The sequence below is a fragment of the Homo sapiens genome, chromosome 5 (genome assembly GCF_000001405.40).
Source record: "Homo sapiens chromosome 5, GRCh38.p14 Primary Assembly".
In the NCBI taxonomy this organism is placed as follows: Eukaryota; Metazoa; Chordata; class Mammalia; order Primates; family Hominidae; genus Homo; species Homo sapiens.
This window is the reverse complement of record NC_000005.10, coordinates 164,594,046-164,610,002: the sequence shown is the minus strand read 5'-3', so window position 1 is coordinate 164,610,002 and position 15,957 is coordinate 164,594,046. Positions and strand designations below refer to the sequence as shown.

The window sequence follows — 15,957 nt, the reverse complement described above, 5'->3', positions numbered from 1 at the left end:
CATGAGATTAGAAAGTTAAAATGATCACTGTAAGTATCTAAATATGGAATTTTGACTTGATTCTATGGTTCAGTGGTTTATATGGTTTTTTGCAAACCCCCTAAAATTATGTTGTCTTAAATTTTTCAATTAAGTTTCAATAGCAAAAAACTGTATTTCTAGGAATTTATAAATAACACTCCATTTAAAAATAAAACTTAAACATACTGAAAAAATCTAATTACTATAATTAATATGAAAATTATTATCTTGTTTGAAAATAAATGAACAGTCCTCCTTTAATAGTTGAAAACTTTATACCACTATTTTTTCTTCTTGAATTCATAGTTCTATTCCACTTTCCCTACAAAATTATTTTTCTTATATTTTTATTCCAGAATATTTTAAAAGTTTGCTCTAACATAATAACAATAGTTTCTAAAAAATGTTACATCCATAAGACATGGACATTATTTCCCTCTATACTTAATTTTTAGCATGTTTGTATGTAACGTAAAATATTTAAAATTTCAATCAATAATTATGCAAAGTAGCAACATTTTATTTGTGCTATACTCTTTAATAACTCCAAGACCTTTAATAAGTACTTCATATATCCATGAATAAAAATGTTGGATTGCTAGAATAAGCATCAAATCTATGCTTATTTTTCATTTATGAGTTTAAGTCTTGAGAATTTAATCATTAACATGTAAATGGGTATAAAAAAACATACTCCATGGCACTCAATTCTTACGAATTCTTCTGGGCTTTATATCAAAAATCACATAACCATGCATCTCCAACATTATTTGTAGTGGTCTACCAGGCAAATTTTGTTAAAAACAAAATATGAAAAACCAACTAATTCACAAAGGTATTTGTTAGGTAGTCATTAGGCTGATTCACTTTCTCGGACTAACAACATACTGAGTGGCTCTTTAGATGAGCCCCAGGTTTTTGCTTGCTGGTGCAATGTGTGTTTCTTTAAAAAAAATGGGAAAATGGCAGGCCAGGCATGGTGGTTCACACCTATAATCCTAGCTCTTTAGGCGGCCGAGGCAGGCAGATCACCTGAGGTCAGGATTTTGAAACCAGCCTGGCTAACATGGCGAAACCCCATCTCCACTAAAAGTACAAAAATTAGCCGGGCACAGTGGCGCAGGCCTGTAGTCCCAGCTACTTGGGATGCTGAGGCAGGAGAACCGCTTGAACCAGGGAGGAAAAGATTGCAGTGAGCCAAGATCCACCATTGCACTCCAGCCTGAGTGACAGAGCAAGACTCCGACTCAAGAAAATAAATAAATAAATAAATAAATAAATAAATAAATAAATAAATATGGGTAAAGGCTGATAAACCATGACACCTAAGCCACAGATGGACAGATTAGTTTGGAAAATAGCATATGTGATATTTGGTGTCTGGATCCTTTCTATGTCCATAATCTCCATACCTCAGTCCAGTGTGACAACTACTCCTGTAAACAACACAGCCATAAGAATGTTTTAGGAAGGGAGAGGGACACATTATTTTTTCTTGTTTTTCTGGTCAAAATAATTTTAATGGCAGTAGAGAGGATGAATTTTGGGTTGGTAGAAGAATATATTACACACAATACTTAGGTGAAAATATGATTTTTTGATGATGAATGATTCAAGAAAATATTTTAAAAGCAAGATTGACAAAGTTTAGTGGCTGAGGATATATGAGGAATAACTCAAACAACATAATCTCTAATCGGCTCACTGATTTGAGTATTAATGCCATTAACTGAGACCAGAAATATGAAAGATGAGTATATTTGGGAAATAAAGTTGGATTTGAAAACTTAATTTAAAATGCATGTGGGTGTAAGTATTTGGTTTTATTTCTGGGTTCTCTATGCTGTTCCATTGGTCTATGTGCCTATTTTTATACCAGTACCATGCTGTTTTGGTGACCACGGCCTTATACTATAGTTTGAAATCAGGTAATGTGATGCCTCCAGATTTGTTCTTTTTGCTCAGTCTTCTTTGGATATGCAGGCACTTTTTTGGTTCCATACGAATTTTAGAATTGTTTTTTTCTAATTCTGTGAAGAATGATGGTAGTATTTAGATGAGAATTGTGTTGAATTTTTAGATTGCTTTTGGCAGTATGGTCATTTTCACAATATTGATTCTAACCATCCATGAGCATGGGATGTGTTTCCATCAAAAACATAAAGTGGGGAAAGGACACCCTTTTCAACAAATGGTGCTGGGATAATTGGCTAGCCACATGTAGGAGAAAGAAACTAGATCCTCATCTCTCACTTTATACAAAAATCAACTCAAAATGGATTAAGGACTTAAATCTAAGACCTGAAACTATAAAAATTCTAGAAGATAACATTGGAAAAACCCTTCTAGACACTGGCATAGGAAAGGATTTCACGAACAAGAACCCAAAAGCAAATACAATAAAAACAAAGATAAGGCCGGTGCAGTGGCTCATGCCTGTAATCCCAGCACTTTGGGAGGCCGAGGCAGGCAGATCATGAAGTCAAGAGATCGAGACCAGCCTGGCCAACATGGTGAAACCCCATTTCTACTAAAAATACAAAAATTAGCGGGATGGGGTGGCACGCGCGTGCCTGTAGTCCTAGCTACTCAGGAGGCTGAGGCAGGAGAATTGCCTGAACCCAGGAGATGGAGATTGCAGTGAGCCAAGATCACGCCACTGCACTCCAGCCTGGCAATAGAGCGAGACTCCGTCAAAAAAACAAAAACAAAAACAACCCTCAAAGATGAATAGCTGAGACTTAATTAAAGAGCTTTTGCACAGCAAAAGGAACAGTCAGCAGAGTAAACAGACTACCCACAGAGTGGGAGAACATCTTCACAATCTATATGTCTGATGAAGGACTAATATCCACAATCTACAATGAACTCAAATCAGTAAGAAAAAAACAAAAAATCCCATCAAAAAGTGGACTCTGTCACCAGGCTGGAGTGCAGTGGTGGGATCTTGGCTCATGCAATCTCCACCTCCTGGGTTCTAGTGATTCTCCTGCCTCCACCTCCCAAGTAGCTGGGATTACAGGCGTGCACCACCACACCCAGCTAATTTTTGCATTTTTAGTAGAGACGGGGTTTCACCATGTTGGCCAGGATGGTCTCAATCCCCTGACCTCATGATACACCCACCTCGGCCTCCCAAAATGCTGGGGTTACAGGTGTGAGCCACCACATGAAGATACACAAATGGCCAACAGACATACAAAAAAAAAAATGCTCAACATCACTAATGATCAGGGAAATGCAAATCAAAACCACAATGCAATATCACCTTACTCCTCCAAGAATGGCCATAATCAAAAAATCAAAAAATAACAGATGTTGGTGTGGATGTGGTGAACAGGGAACACTTCTGCACTGCTGGGGGGAATGTAAACTAGTACAGCAACTATGGAAAACAGTGTGGAGATTCCTTAAAGAACTAAAAGTAGAACTACCATTTGATCCAGCAATTCCACTCCTGGGTATCTACCCATATGAAAATAAGTTGTTATACGAAAAAGATATTGCATACACATCTTTATAGCAGCACAGTTTGCAACTGCAAAATCATGGAACCAACCCAAATGCCCATCAATCAACGACTGGATAAAGAAACTGACACACACACACACACACACACACACACACACACACACAGTCACCCACACACGATAGAATACTACTCAGTCATAAAAAGGAATGAATTAATGGCCTTTGCAGCAACCTGGTTGAGATTGGAGACTATTATTCTAAGTGAAATAACTCAGGAATGGAAAACCAAACATCCTATGTTCTCACTGACATGTGAGCTAAGCCATGAGGACTCAAAGGCATAAGAATGATACAGTGAACTTTGGGGACTTGGGGGGAAGGGTGAGACAGGGGCGAGGGATAAAAGACTACAAATAGGGTGCAGTGTATACTGCTTGAGTGATGAGTGCACCAAAATCTCACAAAGCACCATTAAGAACTTACTCATGTAACCAAATACTACCTGTACCCCCAATAACCTATGAAAAATAAAATAAAATGCATATGGGACATTCAGAGGATATCCATTTTGCCTACACATATGGAACTCTGGAAAGAAGTGGAGTTCAAAACATAAATCTCCTTGGTCTTACATCACTGAAGACCAAGACTACATCACATTCTTAAGAGGGATTTATAAAACCAAAGAAGAAAGAATGAAGGGCAAATTTCTGAAGAGTACAATATCTAAATAAAAGGAGCCTAAGAAAGGCTGTGTCAAGGTTAGGAGTCAAAAGAGGATAGAGCTGTAGGATGAGGAGAGAGTGGCCAGTAACTTTAGAGACAGCTCTGCTGCTCTTTCCTCAGCCCCACACCAAAGGACTACTCCCAAACTCTGTGGAAAAGAGATCCATAATTTAAGAGAAAACACAGATATGCTCATGAATATACTCCAACTGTTATGCCAGTTTCTACTCATGTGTATCAATATACATTGAGGGCACAGGCTTTGACTTCACAGAAACATTAGTCAAAATTTTTGATTCCCTTTCTTCATTGTTAAAATAAAATTAGGCCGACCACGGTGGCTCATGTCTGTAATCGCAGCACTTTGAGAGGCTGAGGCAGGTGGATCACTTGAGGACAGGAGTTCCAGACCAGGCTGGCCAACATGGCAAAACCCTGTCTCTACTAAAAATACAAGAAAATTAGACAGGCATGGTGGCACTCGCCTGTAATCCCAACTACTTGGGAGGCCGAGACAGAAGAATTACTTGAACCTGGGAGATGAAGGTTGCAGTGAGCCAAGATTATACCACTGCACTCCAGCCTGGGTGACAAAGTGAGACTCTGTCTCAAAAAACAAACAAACAAACAAACAAAAGCAAAACAAAAATTATAATGTTATCTACTTCATATGGAGTACATTAAGTCAATATATTTAAAGTGCTTAGCTAAAAGTTGGCACAGATTAAATATCCACAAAATCATTGTTAGTATTTGCATATTACTAATGTTAAATATTTAGTAAAAAAAATTTCACTCTCCTAAAATTGTGTGTGTGTGTGTGTATGTTTGAAAAGTCTTGAATGAAAGAGCTCCTCAAGCCAATACTGAATAAGAGAATTTACTGACTCACTGATGGTCACTTTCTCTTGTTGCATATTTAGGGTCTGCCATTCTGGATCACTACTTCCGAGATGCACAGATAATACTGTAAAATAGAATGAAGAACCTCTAAACCAGAGTTTGTGTTGTGACTGATATTGATGCTCTGCCAAACTTGTTTGAATCTTAACTAAAGTCAGAATTATTAGAAAATGTGTTATGGTTGACCTATTTTTCTTAATTCAGGGTTAACCAGACATTCCTGAACATTTTTAACGAACATTTTCAACGAACATTTTCAGTCACGTTAAATTTGGTAGGCCAAATAAAAATGATCCTTTAAAATTTTCTTATATTGCATTAGGGTTTTCCCCCTTTGTACTAGTGAAAATCATAAGTTGATTTGGAAATGCATTTTTTAGGTGACTGAATTGAACATATAGTCAGTAGAAGATTTGAAGACTGAAACTGCTGATTTCTTAGTGTGTCAATAACATTTTTTTATATCATGAGTACTTCTTAGCTTTGGTCCTTATATTGCCTACCTTCTTCTAAAAAAATACAGAAAAAAAAGATTTTGTCTCATTTCTGAAGTCAAGAGGCAATCTTGCAGAAATAGTTAAGATACCCAAGCAATATAATTGCTAAAATTACTACTACTAAAAATTGCTAAAATTACTACTAAAAATACAAGAAAATTAGACAGGCATGGTGGCACACGCCTGTAATCCCAACTACTTGGGAGGCGGAGGCAGAAGAATTGCTTGAACCTGGGAGATGAAGGTCGCAGTGAGCCAAGATCATGCCACTGCACCCCGCCTATGGAGGATGGGGGAAACTGTTTTTAATTTAGACTTAATGAGAATGGCTGAATGTATTTTATAATATGTACATGGTGACTAAAACCTTCTCTGCCTTTCACAAATTCCCATAGAAGACAGACCACCCCATACTAACTACACAAACACACACATATAAATACATACACCACTCGAGATAGTTACAGTTGCCAGATGAAACGAAGGATACCCAGTTAAATTTCAATTTCAGAAAAACAATGATTAAACTTTTTTAGAATAAGCATATTCCACATATAATTCTTTTCAATGTTTTTCTAAAATTTAACTGATTTGAACTGAGTCTCCTGTATTTTAATTTGCTAAGTCTGGCAAACTTATCAATAGGTGAACATGCTACCTCCATGACAGATATATTTTGAAAGGTAAACATGCGCTGTCCATCTGCTTTCCATTGTTATCAACATCTTTATATCTCAGTATCAAGTAATGGGTAGAATATACAATATTGCTGAATATTCTTTAGAGTCTATCCAATAATTCTACAAATCATTCGTTTATCTCTTGGCATGTGCCTTGGCTGAAACTTAATACTTAACTATATTTTTGTTTATTTCATTTTTATCCAAATTTTAACAGTTATCTATCTGCCTTCTTAGAGCAGTGATTCAAAATCTGAGGTAAGGGCCATCTGATCAAAATTCTGGGTCTAGATTATGGCTTTTCTTGATAATAATAAAGACAAGCTTTACAAAATTGAAATTAAGATTACTAAGGAGCAGAAACATGGTTATATGCAAGAAGCAGTATGTTTTCACAAATCGTTTTTCTCTCTCTTCCACAAGATATGACACAGTATTTTATATATTAATAATATTAAATATTTAATGTCAATCTCATAACATCAAATATTTGTTACCATTGAAGAGTTCTTAGCAAAACTTGAAAAAGTACATCATTTCTTCCAGTAAAAAAATAGAGAAGACAAGAAAGAATACTTTTCCCTGTGAAGTGATCTTACAAGTGTGACGAATGATTTATCTAAAATAAGAATTGTATTTATTATAATTCCAAAAAGAAAAGTTACATTTTAAATTGATTATAACAGTCAAAACTCAACGGAAAAAGGCAGCTTGTAATAGTATTATACCAACTTCATACTCAATGAAATTTTTAGCTTTCTACTCAAACAATATTGTCACCATAAATTTTTCTACAGTAGTTTTATAAATATGTAATTTCAGAAAATCTGAATGTCGTTCCTTTGCTTAAACCATTTTAAAATCACACATAAAGAGTCACACTTACAATACTCATCTACTGCTAGAGTTACTCTTTGAAATGTTGAAAATTTCTCTGGATCTAAAAATACTTGGCTTTATAAGAAAAGTAAAGAGGCACAGAGTAAAACCAATTTTAAGAACAACCACATTATGTATTATTTTGTGTGTCCATTAAGTTTTTTATTGATAGATAATATTTTACATATTTATGGCATACATGTGATATTTGGTCCCATGCACAGAGTGGACAATGATCCAGTCAAAGTATTTGGGGTGTCCATCACCTCGAGTATTTACCATTACTATGTTGAGCCCAGAATGTATTTTGAGTGACCAATGATGTTTAATGATTTTCTATATGTTGTAATATCTTCTGTACATCATTTGGTTTACCTTTTCTTCTCTTTTTTTTTTTTTTTTTTTTTTTTGGTGACGGGGTCTCGCTCTGTCACCCAGGCTGGAGTGCAGTGGCGCCATCTTGGCTCACCGCAACCTCTGCCTCCAGGTTCAAGCGATTTTCCTGCCTCAACTTCCCGAGTAGCTGGGATTACAGGTACCCACCACCACACCCAGCTGATTTTGTATTTTTAGTAGAGTTAGGGTTTCACCATGTTGCCCAGGATAGTCTCAAACTTCTGACCTCAGGTGATCCGCCTACCTTGGTCTCCCAAAGTGCTGGGAATACAGGCGTGAGCCACCGTGCCCAGCCTCTATCAGTTTTTTATCTTGTGCAGTGGGGAGCCCAGGTTCAGTCTATTCTTAAATCCAATACATAACTATAACTTTGGAGAAAATATGTGAGGTGGGTTAATCCCGAAGTTTTTATGAAAAAACGCGATTCCCTGAAACAAAGTCAATCTTCCATGCTATTGGTACAAATGGATCTCTTGTTTCCCTGTCTGGCCCTTGCATCTGCGCACGCTTCTTAGTCATTAAGCACAAGAGTTCTGCAAACAGATTTCTATCTTGGCCTGCCCCTTACTAGTTACTTGACCTTGTGACACTTAACATTGTGCCTCAATTTCCTCACGTAAATGTGGGAAACAAAACCAATACTTAGCCTTTCTCACATAATTACGAGGTTTAGCTCACGTAATCCAGCGTTACTCCAAGTTGAGGTTTCCCGGAAGGGAAAAATTACTTATATTGTTTTTAATGTATCAGCTAATTAAAATGTGAGAATCAAAACCAGTGCAGAGCTTTCCTCACATAAATACGAGGTTCACCTCACGTAATTCACCGTTTCTCAAAGTTGAGGCTTCCTTGAAGGGAAAAACTTACTGACGTTGTTTTTAATATATCAGCTAATTAAAATCATTACAGAATTAGGTTAAAATCCATATGTGAAGGACTCTGGCACTTACGGAATCATTTTCAGAGGATCCGGCAAGATGGCAGAGGTAGAGGAGAAGAAGCAGCGGATCTTCCGCAAGTTCACCTACCGCGGTGTGGACCTGGGCCAGCTGCTGGACATGTCCTTTGAGCAGCTGAGGCAGCTGTACGGCGCGCGCCAGCTGCGGCGGCTGAACCACGGCCTGTGGCGGAATGCTGAGGCTCAAGCCGCATTCGCTGCTGAGGCGCCTATGCTAGGCCAAGAAGGAGGCGCCGACCATAGAGAAGCAGGAAGTGGTGAAGACGCACCTGCGGGATATGATCATCCCTCCCAAGATGGTGGGCAGCAGGGTGGGCGTCTACAACGGCAAGACCTTCAACCAGGTGGAGATCAAGCTGGAGATGATCGGCCACGACCTGGGCGAGTTCTCCATCACCTACAAGCCCGTGAAGCACGGCCGGCCTGGCATTGGGTCCACCCACTCCTCCCGCTTCATCTCCCTCAAGTAGTGGCTCCGCTAATAAAGGCACACATATCTCCAAAAAAAAAAAAAAGACATTTATAAAGTGACTACAAAGAAAACAACTATACCAGTAGTATGCATATCAATAATACTGCTTTTTTTTTTTTCACCGCTGAAGGTGTTGTTTCGTTGAAACCGAATCACCATTTAGAAAGTGATTGTCAAACTGAGTTCAGTTTGCTGATGCAAATTTGAATACACCATGATGACTGTTTCCCCACTGCTCTGTTCTATTCAATCCACTATATAGTGTATGTGTATTTGACTTTTCAATAGCACTACCATGTTACTATGTTTTAAGTCCAATTCTGTTTTTTTATCACTATCCTAACATAAATATAGTAGTAAGTCTCCATGATCATAAACAAAAGCAAGCACAGATGATGAACTGATGAGTAAGACATCATTTCATGCCAGGAAGACAGTAAAATCACGCTATGATGCAACCCCTGCCCTCATTACAAAGCAGTTTTAGATAAAACAGAAAAAGAGAAAACGTGAAAGACAGAGCTGGCCTTAAAAACTGGACAGACATTTTCATGAGCCATAAATATAAGAAGATGAGTAAGACTACATCCTCTGGCCTTCTGGGATTAAAAGCTCCAAAGCAGGCAGTGACAAGAGGTCAGTTTCTCTGGGGCCATTGGGATTAAAAGTACTCCCATATATGGATGTATAGAGCCAGGCCTACTGCTTATTATGGCAAAGATTGGATGCCCAGAACTCTTGATGCTTATTAGAGGAGGCTTAACAAAACAAAAAAACTGCGCTCTCTTGGGCTGCAGATGTTATAAACTTGTGGAATTATGAAAACAGAAAGCCACACTTTCAAAGGTAAGAAATGAATCGAGTTCTGTGCTTGCTTAGTGGCCATCTCTGTTACTTTCCTGTGGGTCAGAGTAGCAAACTTTTACTCTAAAACCCGGTTCTTGAATAAGCACCAGACGGCAAGCTGGAGGTGAACCAACAAACTGATTAATTTTAAAAAGGAAACATAGGCCCGGCTCGGTGGCTCACACCTGTAATCCCAGCACTTTGGGAGGCCGAGGCAGGCACATCACCTGAATGATCTGAGTTCGAGACCAGCCTGACCAACATGGAGAAACCGTGTCTCTACTAAAAATACAAAACTAGCCATGCGTGGTGGCGCATGCCTGTAATCTCAGCTACTCGGGACGCTGAGGCAGGATAATCGCTTGAACCCGGGAGGCAGAGGTTGCAGTGAGGAGAAATCATGTAATTGCACTCCAGCCTGGGCAACAAGAGCGAAACTCCCTCTCAAAAAAAAAAAGGAAACATAAAAACTACAAAGAATCTCCCACACAAAACAAACCTGACAACCCAAGTTCCAAAACGGCTGAAGAAAGGTATGAAAAATAAGGCCGGGCATGGTGGCTCACACCTGTAACCCCAGCAATTTGGGAGGCCGAGGTGGGCGGATCACTTGAGGACAGGAGTTCAAGACCAGCCTGGCCAACATGGTGAAAACCTGTCTCTACAAAAAAATACAAAAATTAGTTGGGCATGGTGGTATGTGCCTGTAGTCTCAGCTACTTGGGAGGCTGAGGCACAAGAGTCACTTGAATCCAGGAAGCAGAGGTTGCAGCAAGTCGAGATCACAGCAGTACACTCCAGTCTGGGCAACAAAGCAAGACTCTGTCAAAAAAAAAAAAAAAGCAAGAGAAAAGAAAGAAAAGAAAAGAAGGAGACTCCAGCTCTACAAAAAATTAGCTGGATGTGATGGTTGTAACTGTAGTCCCAGCTACTTGGGAGGCTAAGGCAAGAGGATGGCTTGAGCCCAGGAGGTCGAGGCTGCAGTGAGCCCTGATTGCTACCACTGCACTCCAGCCTGCACAGGAGGGAGGAAGGAAGAAAGGAAAAGAAGGACAGGAAGGAAGGAAGAAAGGAGGGAATGAAGGAAGGAAGGAAAGAAGGAAGGAAGGTAGGTAGGTGGCTCTCAAAATCACCAACCAGAACTTGAATTCACCCAAGATGAAATGTTCATATGTATAAGATTGTAAAACTCATTAATAATTAACGGTTTACAATGCTCAACTGAAAAAATGACAATCACATCTATTTTTTTTTAATGAAGCAGAGATCAAATACAAGCAAGAAGACAGGAAAGGAACCCATAAGGACTCTTAATAAAGAAATATGTAGTCACTGCAATTACAAAAACAAAAACAAAAAACTTCCCTCAGTAGACAGACCAAACTCAAGACACAATTGCCACCATTGGGAAGACTGACTGAATTTCAAAATGATATTGAGGAATGTACTCAGAACACACCACAGAAACACAAATATGTAAACATAAAAAATTAAAGATACATAAAGTATAAAATACGGAGCTCTGGCATATATTTGATAAGTGTCTCAGAAAAATGAGCTGGAAGTCATATTTGAAAAAATACCTGGTAATAAACTTTTCAGAATCAAGGTAGGACATGGAGATTCTGATTCAGAAGGCACTCTAAGTACTAAACAGGATAGATAAACATATTCCCACCTAAACACATAATAGAGAAACTGTACACATCATGCTAAACTAAAATTTTTAAAATCCAGAGACAAATCGTATTAACTAGCAAAAAATAATAATTAAACCAAAGGAAAATGTCCTTATCAATTGAAAGAAATGCAAGAAGTGCTTTCAAAAGCTAGAGAGAAAATAACTGTCAGCTTAAAATATTATCTCTAGCTAAAATCATTCATGCAAAGATTAAGAGTCCATCGAATAAATTCTTAGTAAAGGAATTATTAAAGCATCAATTTTAATTAAAAGAAAAATGCAACCAGAGGAAAAGCATTAGGTAGAAAGATAATGGTGAATACAGATATTTTTAGAATAGCTAACAACTAATAATACTCAGTAGCTAACAACTTGTATATATGATTTTATGTATATGTATGTGTACATGTCTGTGTATGTGGTGCTTAAGGAAAAATATAAACAATAAATTGTTCAGGAATGATTACCGAATAGTTTACACATACTGAAGTTATTATGTTCAAGAAAAGACAGCAGTATTACCTGGTCATCAAATTATTAAATCAAGATGTATTGTTAAGCATGGATATTAAACTTTAAAGTTAACACTAAAATATAGAATGAGTCTTTTCTAAATCTGCAGAGAGAAAAAAATATGTAAATGAGGGAATATGGAAATCTTTAATTTAAACAAAAGGCAGAAATAGAAAAAACACAGTCAAGAAAAAAATGGCACAAATAGAAAATGCGAAATAAGGTTGTAGACATACACTCAAATGTACCTATAAAGAAAATCAATGTAAACAAACTAAACTCACGAATTAAAAGGCATAATCAGACTGGATACATTTACAAATGTGGGATGATATGTTTCTTCTAAAACATACGCCTCAAACAAAATAGCACAAATTGGAATAAAGGCTTTGGAACCTTTATATCAGGATGTTCATACAATGGTATATAATGGTTAAACAGAATGAACTAGCGCCCCACGTGGCCATTTGATTGGGAGGTGCTCCTTCAGATGATCCCAACCATATAGAGAACTGGGGTTGGAGTCCTAGCATTGTCTATTTTCACCTGTGTGACCTCATAGAAACTATTAACCTCTCTATGCTTCAGTTATGCAAATAAGGGATAAAAATCACACCATGTGGATTAAATGATTTCATTTTTATCAAAGTGTTGAAATGTTTTTGACACATAGCTTTGTGTAAGGATTTATTAAATAAATACACAAGTTTTAAAAAAATGTATTCGAATGAAATACAAAATTAGAAACAGATCTGGAGAGTCACATAGTAATAGCGAATTCAAACATTTCCAAGATTAGCAGATATCAAGTCCTAATATTAGAAAACGCTGATATTTTCATGGTAAAGCTTCAGCGAGGTGCCTGTATTCAGTAAGTGCTTGGCAAATGTCACCTCCAAATACAACAGCAGTCACCAAACTGTCACTCCAATTTCTTCTGCTTTTTCCTTTAACCTAGTTACCCCACATAACATTAAATATGCCTGAGAAACCTTCTAGTCTTTCTAACACATGAACTCATCAATTCCTTCCATTCCTCCCCTCAAAAGTAGCCATCCTAATGAAAACAACATTCTGTGCCACAAGATCCAGTGTCATTTTATGACAGGGCTAATCATTAGTTGATGTTTGCTTATGCTGAAGTAGAATCCATTTCTTTATTACTTCTATCCATTAATAATACCTATGTCCTCTGATCATGCTACATAGAAAACATCTTTTTTCTTCCACGCTAGTTTACAGTCATCTGAGGAAAAAAAAAAAAAAAAGCATGTTTTATTCTTTCTAGTGCTTCTCTTATTGAAGGTGCCCATTCTGTCATTATATAGAATATTTTCCCTCTCCCTATTGGTAGCTTCTCCTCCAGGTACATATTTTAGCCAGGTACTTAACACTACATGCAATGTTTCAGAATGGAGCACTTCTTTACAGTTGTCTACACAGGCGGAGTGGACTGAACAATCTCTTTTCTTATTTAAATACTTTTATTCAATAGCCATTTTTGTTCTAGGTACTCTGTCAGGAATAGAAGATGCAAATGTGATCACAGAATAGACATGGCCCTGCCTCCATAGAGTTCAGTCTAATGGGAGAAGTCAAACAAGCCAGCCAACAACTACAAAGTAGTGTGATCAGGGATAGAATTGGCAAGTAGAGTGTAATGGGAAGACATAAGAGGGACAACTGACTTGATCATGGGGTCTTGAAGGTAAAATCTGAAGGCTCAACCCAAGGGAGTGGGGAGAATTATTTTCCACCTCCTAAGAGAACATGTTGCCTTTGAGAAACTGATAGAGGTTTAGTATGATTGGATTTCATGCTGCAAGCTAAATGGGGGGTAAAGGAGAACACCATGTAAGTAATACAACCCCAATTATGTAGTTCCTATCAAGGTATTTTTCTGAACAACATAACTCTATTAATATGAAGTAATATCAAATACATTATTGGTGACCACATAACACTTCTGGCACTGTTGATTTCGGGTTTACGTCCCACAGAAAGAACTTAATGTTTTTTATTTGCACTTCCACATATGTTAGTTGGAAATGTAGATGGAAAATTATCAATTCCAACTTCCTAGATTTACTCCCATCATTTCTGTCATTCAGGGTATCTTTGGAGCCTGATTTGTCATTATACATATATATATATAAATAAAATACTCACTACTCTCTCCTTAAATTTCCCTTTATATCCACAAAAATATAGTAAATTTTGTTAGTTTCCTTTGAGAAACTGAATTTGAGGAACAGTATATTTGCCCAGTAATCTATCTTGGTCCAGAAATATTTTAAAAGACCTTTATATTGTCCTAAACATAACACAGCCTCCAGCTCCTTATCAACATTAGCCTTTGTGATTCAGTGTTTTGGGAATCTAAAGCTACCTTTCCAAAGACAAACAACTTAATTTCATGCCTCTACTCCAGTGGTGCTCTTTTTTTTTTTTTTTTGAGACAGAGTCTCACTCTGTCGCTCAGGCTGGAGTGCAATGGTACGATGTCAGCTCAATGCCACCTCTGCCTGCTGGGTTCAAGCAATTCTCCTGCCTCAGCCTCCCAATTAGCTGGGATTACAGGCACCCACCACCACACCCAGCTAATTTTGTGTATTTTTAGTAGATACGGGTTTTTGCCATGTTAGCCAGGCTGGTCTCAAACTCCTGACCTCGGGTAATCCACCCGCCTCAGCCTCCCAAAGTGCTGGGATTACAGGCATGAGCCACCGCACCTGGCCCAGTGGTGCTCATTTTTAAAAGCATATTCAGTCTTTCGGTTCAGTTCTGCTTTATACATCCAAGAGAGAAAAATCATTCAGCCTTTTATGGGGAGGCACACTAACCAATATCCTTTAACATATGTTGAGTTAAATACCATCTATATTCAGATACATATTTTAATTTCTTTAATTAGTTTTTTCACTGGAAGATGGCTCATTGTTCTGTTCCCTGTGATGAAGGGGCTTCTGGATGAAGACTTGAGAGACAGAGAAGATGAATTTGTGTTTGAATTTCAAAGGAAAAATCTGGAATGAAAAGCCTATGATTTTAGGTTTATTACTATATGTGCTTTATAGAAGACCAAATGTTTTTCTTTATTCCCTGAAATTTACTGCCTTTTCACACTTAGTAGGATATTGTCTCACCATTTAGTTTTTGAAAATATTGTAATCCTACGTAACTTTGCAATTTATAGTCTCTAGAAAAGAATATTCTCATATATACGTACTCTGTAACAACCTGTTATTAACTGATAAAAGAGAGTATATTCATATTCTTACTTCAAGTAAACCATATATATGAAAACTATATATATATATTTGAAAACTGTATATATATGAGTAGAAAGGTATAATAGCTTTGAATTTTCAAAAGCATTATCCATTAACCCCGTTACCAAGCTTCTCTCATTAATTTAGGTATAATTCAATTTTTAATTGAATACCTTTTAAGAGCATACTTATGACAACACAAGATACACTAAAATAATTCAAAATATTATTAGATCTATGTTAATAAAATAAACTCATAGAGTCATAGAAATGAATGAATTAGGGAAGATTCTCTCATAAAAATAATTTTATATTTTAATGCAAATACAAAGAAAAGAAGTTAATTGAATGTCAGAAAAGTGACCAGTTTCTATCTTAACCTTGAAACTTGTGGGAATGTGGAATGCCAGATTTGTGTCATATATTATAGCTCCTGACAGTGTTATGTGTCTTTACCACAACACCATCTGTGCTGCTGTACCTGAATAGGAACAGGGGCTAGAAATGGAGAAAAATAATGAATTCTTGCAACATATTTTTTTTCCCCTGAGCTCATGCAGCTGGTGATAGATGCTTTCCTTCAACCTGAAAAGCACTGCACAGTTGTCCAATGACATAGTGGTATCTTCAGCATCTTCCTGT

The 15,957-nt window shown here is 37.3% G+C and overlaps 1 long non-coding RNA gene and 1 pseudogene across 1 annotated transcript in view; one reads left to right on the top strand and one right to left on the bottom strand.

The window, feature by feature from the left end:
* Positions 1-15,957, bottom strand: part of LINC03000 (long intergenic non-protein coding RNA 3000) — a 765,030-nt gene that overhangs the window by 451,732 nt on the left and 297,341 nt on the right. The gene's annotated exons all lie outside the window — the stretch shown is intronic.
* Positions 8,533-9,033, top strand: RPS15P6 (ribosomal protein S15 pseudogene 6; annotated as a pseudogene).